Raw genomic sequence first — 5097 nt, 5'->3', positions numbered from 1 at the left:
CTGGGGAAGTGGGTGAGAACGCATATGGATCTAGACAGAGAAGGTAGCCTTAGGGGTGGAAGTTTCTCGACCTGGGGAGGAAAAGAGAATGCCCAGAATTCTTCCCCCATGTCCCCAGGTAGGCCTAAGCCTGACACTAACTTCACATGAATCAACTTGGATTTGCCCCAATAAAAGTAACTGAAGGCAGGCTGAAGGCTGCCACTTGCATTTAAGGAACAAACTCCTGGACTGGCAGGAAGCTCTGGTTTCCCGTTTAATTGTGGTCAGGATTTCAAGCTTATTTTTAAATTGAGTAGGGGTCAATTCCAATTCACTTTAATTCAATTCCAAGTCCAAATTCAACACATTTCTTGCATACCTACTAGCTAGTTGGTCCTGTCTTAGGGTTGTTTATCAAGAATGTGAGAGGAGAACAGGATAAGACAGGCCACGTCTGCTCTTAGTGACATGTCTTGGTTGATATTATTATCCTCACTCATCTCTGTCTTGCCTACCCCTAGTCAGGACCACATACATATTCCACTCCTCTAAGAAACCCATCCGCACTGCAAGCCATGGGACTCCACCCTTTCCCAAGCTTCCTAATGATCTGTGTCACTCAGTTCAGCCCCTCATTGTGGTCTAGTTTATCTCATCCAATAATCATATGGAAATCAGCTCAAGAACAATATAGGCATGCTGTCAAGTGTAGATATGCCATGTCTTGTGGTTAAAGTCTTAGACTCTTGGTGAGCTCTGCTTTTAGAGCACTCTGAAGGGTTTCTAATATCACAGACCTCCTTTATTGTAGCTGTGGTCTTTTGCAGTCTTGGCTTTGAGAAATGTTGTTGCCCACATAGGATTAGCCACACCAGGGGCAGCAGGCAATGCTCTAGTCCAAGCCTGACTTGAAACTCAAGAAGCAAGTTTCTGTACAAGAGGAAATGAAAATTTCCAATCTCTTAAGACCGGGTCCTGGAAAACTGGCACAGTGTCACTTCTGCTGTATTCTACTGCTCACCACAGGTCCACCACAGATTCCACCAACTTCAAGGGGAGGGGAACTAGATTTTACCTGTCAATGGGAGCAGTAGCAAATACCATCTTTACCTCACTTTGGTAAGAATGAAGTCATGTTCAGAAGCCCAGTATATAAAATATACAAGGTGAGAGACTTAGAGACTCCTTTTTTGGTCTCCTCTTTTAACCCACACTCTCTTCATCGAAAGCCTTTAGAATTCTAATTTGAATTTGAAAGCTATAGTAACTGCGGTTTGTTGTGTGAGAATAACAGAGAAAAAGCGTCCTATATATTTAATGGTAATTTTCTCCGGATATTGCCTCAACTAGGGACTTATTCTACCCAGTTGACATGACATACGCTTTGGGTACTTGCTCTGGTCATACTGAACGCAAGATCTTAGCACAGGCTGTGGGGCGCCTAAAAGCTGCCCTGACCGCATGCCAAAGAATCTCCACATGGGGCTCAAGCAGAGAGGAAAGTCAGCTCTACCTATTATCTGTCCTTTAACCATACCAGGAGGGTTGCAACTCCCTTCAGAGCCTAGGGCAGAAGACTTTATCGACAGAGCCCTGCCCTTTTTTGTTTGAGAGTATGAGCAGGTGTTATCTGAGAACAAGCAGGTGTTTGTAGAAATGTGACCTTGAGCCCTGGTTACAGACCTGCTCTTTTGTTCTGGTGACTCATTTTTCCTTGAATGGAGTTGGTTTCTATTTATGAAATGGCTGTGAGGCCACAGTGACCAGCTTGGACACTACTGTTGTATATGTGAGTGCTTCCCCTCCCAAGAGCAGATAAATTACTGAGTGCATTTGATACCTGTCTGCCAGAGATGTGGCCACCCCTTGTCACCCACAAGTTTGTCTACAAAGAGGGCAAGCAAATATAGCATGCCTGTGTCACACTCGCTTTTTTAAAGAAGGTTATGCCTATGGGTAAACAGAAAGTGCCTTGTTCCAAAGACTCTTCTGTTCTCAGGCTGGAAAAATATAATTTAGTCCATCCTGGGAAGCTACTGGGCAATGCTGAAAATCTTTGGCTAATAGGAAATAATTTAGAACAGAGAATCACCTTGGGTAAGACAGTGAATATTTTACAACTGTACTGACTGTGGAATTTAAGCCAGCATTCTGCACTTCATCTTAATTCTCTCTACTAATCACTGCGAGGAAGCATGTATATGTGTATGTATGTACATATGTATGTGTGTGTATACTTCTGGGTCTCTGTGTAGAGCTAATGGTTTATTCTCCAGCGCCACCAAGTCCTAAGAGGTGTGAGTTTCAGGTTAAACCCAGAAATAGGAAGTGTTTATATGTTTAGCATAGACATAGACAACAAACACATGTCTATGTAAACCCAACTTACAAAATTATATGTTGGATAAATTTTCTAGAAATGTCCCACTGATGGTAATGTCATCACAAAACTCTAAAGTTGGGCATCAATCCAGTCCTGCAGGCTGTATGCAACCACTAGAAATATGGCCTGTAACTCAAAAGCCACTGCAACTGCGGATAGAAGATCACATCCAATCAGATGCCAAGTTTGTTTCAGAATTTAATACAGGGCTTTGCCTACCCAGGCCACATGACGCTATACCTCCTTCAGAGTGTCAGGATTCAGAGGGGCATTTTCCAATGATTACACCTGTGGTGACGGAAAATGAACGGACACACTCAAGGTCTAGACAGCTGATGAAATCATGGAGAGCAGGATGGACTGGGTTGTTCTATAAGCATATTATATGGCTTGGAGGTTTCTCATGAGGTGTCCTTCTTCTTACAGTATTCCCAAAAGCACAAAGATGGGAGGGATTTGTATTTTGGTCAGTGGCAGATATAAAAATATTTAAAGGGATTTCTTCATAGTTATGTAAGACATGACATAGTTTATGGACGTGATTTCTTTGAGGCTCTCCTGAGTTATTCTTGTTCTTCATGAATCTAGTTTTGACTGAGAGTTGATATACCCTTTCACCAATCCTCCTGGCATCCTCTCCCATGCTTCCCCTGCCTAAAATGATAGAAAAAAAAAACCCCTAGACTGTCTTTCTCAAAGGCAATAGTCTACAGGATGCTCCCCATTATGGCAGTGGTGTTTGAGAGAAGGGATGCAATGTTCAATAGGAAGCATGGGGTTTTCAATAGAGTGCAGTGCTGAACAGAAAGGCCCCCTTTAGCAACCTCTTGAAGCAGAATGAGCTCCTTTGAAATATAAATGGCCCTGTAAAAACACAAGCAGATTCTGCAATATCTATTTAGGGCATCCGGGAATGCCACATGATAGGAACTTGAGCGCACCTGATGGTAACCATATGGCAGGTTCTGATGACTGACAATAGGTAGAGGCTGCAGTAATTAATGAAAATGAGATTCTATTTGTGGCCCCCACAATGAGAGGATGGAGAGGAAGCCAGTCTATTTGCAAAGGCTGGGATGTGCCCAGAGTGTGCTTCTAGCCTGGGACAGGCTGGGCCCATGTTTCTGTGTGTGAACAGGTGTGAGAGAAATGATGCTGTGGGAGGGAGGGCTTGTTTCTGGCCAGAGAACCACCATGCTTTTTGGGCCTGCAGTGGGAAAATGAGCTTGTGTCACTGAACCCCTGTACCTTGCCAGGATTTTTAGTTTGATGTGGGAGAGATTTCAGGTAGAAATCCAGTTAATTGGCCTGGTGGAAGTACAGACTCTATTGTGTGAGGACTCGGGTGTGCTGTGTGCGATTTTGACTTCTCTGGATTTTAGGGTACAATGCCTCCCTTTACCCTCTTGGAGATGACTCCTTAAGGTGTGCTTTGCGTCAGAGTGTAGCAGAGTTTGGCTAGCCTCTGGCAAAAGAAAAGGAAAAAGGCAATGCCTCATTGTTTTAATGTTTTTTTCTTAGATGTGGGGGTGGGATAGAGGAAGGGAGCTGGCCAGTGAGAAGTGGGCCATGGGGAGATTCCAGAGAGACTGATTGATCTTGTCAGAAAGAATAAAGGTATTCACTCCCCAGAACCCCCTTCAGCACATGGGCATGTGGGATTGAGGCGGTCACTGTGAAGTCTTGCGGTTAGGCGTTCCAAAAAGAAGTTTCTCCATGATTCCTGATTGCTTAGGACAGATATAAGCAATACCAGCTGGGGCCCAGCAAGCCTGTCTCCAGCTTTATTGTTTCTGATTTATCAGTGGTGTGTGCGCCTAAAAGAACTGATCTAACTGCCCTTTATTGCTAGCCTATTCCGTAGCCAGATAGGAGAGTTGAACATTAACAAGTGGATTTGCTTTCAGTAGCTGCCTCTGTGTGTGTGTGTATGTGTGTGTGTGTGTGCGTGTATTTAGCAAGATAACAGTATCTTGTTCAGGGACAAGTGACTCAAATTTTTACAAGAACATTCCCATTCTTTTGTCTCCCATCTTGAATTTTCCCTAATTTATTTGAAGCTGCCTCTTTTACTACAGCCAGAGAGGATCCATAGGGCTGTTTTGTAAGAGTCCTTCGTAAGTGGTAGAAACTCAGCTGGAGCCAGGTTGGAGGCACCAGGCACTGTGCATTGAAGATATATTTCAAGTCATCCCTGGTGGACAATTTGCACTGTTCCGTGTTAAAAGGCTCTATTGCAGTGGTTCGGAGAGCCCCCTAGACCTCCTGCCTTGGCAAGCAGAGTTTACAAATGATGTCTTCCACTCAGCCTGCCTGGAGTTTCTGGCTTAAATGGCTGGCAGAGTGAGTGAAAGTGAAGAGTCAGAACTCTCAAGCTGTGTGAAGGGAAAGGTTTTACTACTGAGTGGAAAATAATCATCGAGGTTAACTGTTCCTGGATTGACCAAGCAGACAGATGGACTGCTCTGACTCGGGCTGAGTGATAAACTTCTGAGACTCCTCTGCAAGGGGAAGGGGCAGGTGGAAATAGAGGATGAGTGACTCATGACTTTCCAATCTGGAGTTTTGCCCATTCATTTCTTTCTTGGAGGAAACAAACTATCCTGCTAAAATGATAATGATCCACTGGAGGACTTTGGTTTGGAGTCTAGCTCCTATGGTTTGTGAGATATTGTTTCATTTGGGTAGTTATTTCCTTCTACACTTTCTTGATCACAGGTTACAATGAGGAA

At 43.9% G+C, this 5097-nt stretch overlaps 1 annotated feature.

The window, feature by feature from the left end:
- Positions 1481-1775: an enhancer, noted in NCBI's record as "tiled region #2379; HepG2 Activating DNase matched - State 5:Enh". NCBI's record gives its function as "activates a minimal TATA promoter and a strong SV40 promoter by Sharpr-MPRA in HepG2 cells {active_cell/tissue: HepG2}" and the evidence as "EXISTENCE:reporter gene assay evidence [ECO:0000049][PMID:27701403]".

Source organism: Homo sapiens, chromosome 2 (genome assembly GCF_000001405.40).
Source record: "Homo sapiens chromosome 2, GRCh38.p14 Primary Assembly".
In the NCBI taxonomy this organism is placed as follows: Eukaryota; Metazoa; Chordata; class Mammalia; order Primates; family Hominidae; genus Homo; species Homo sapiens.
This window is presented reverse-complemented; position numbering and strand designations above follow the sequence as displayed.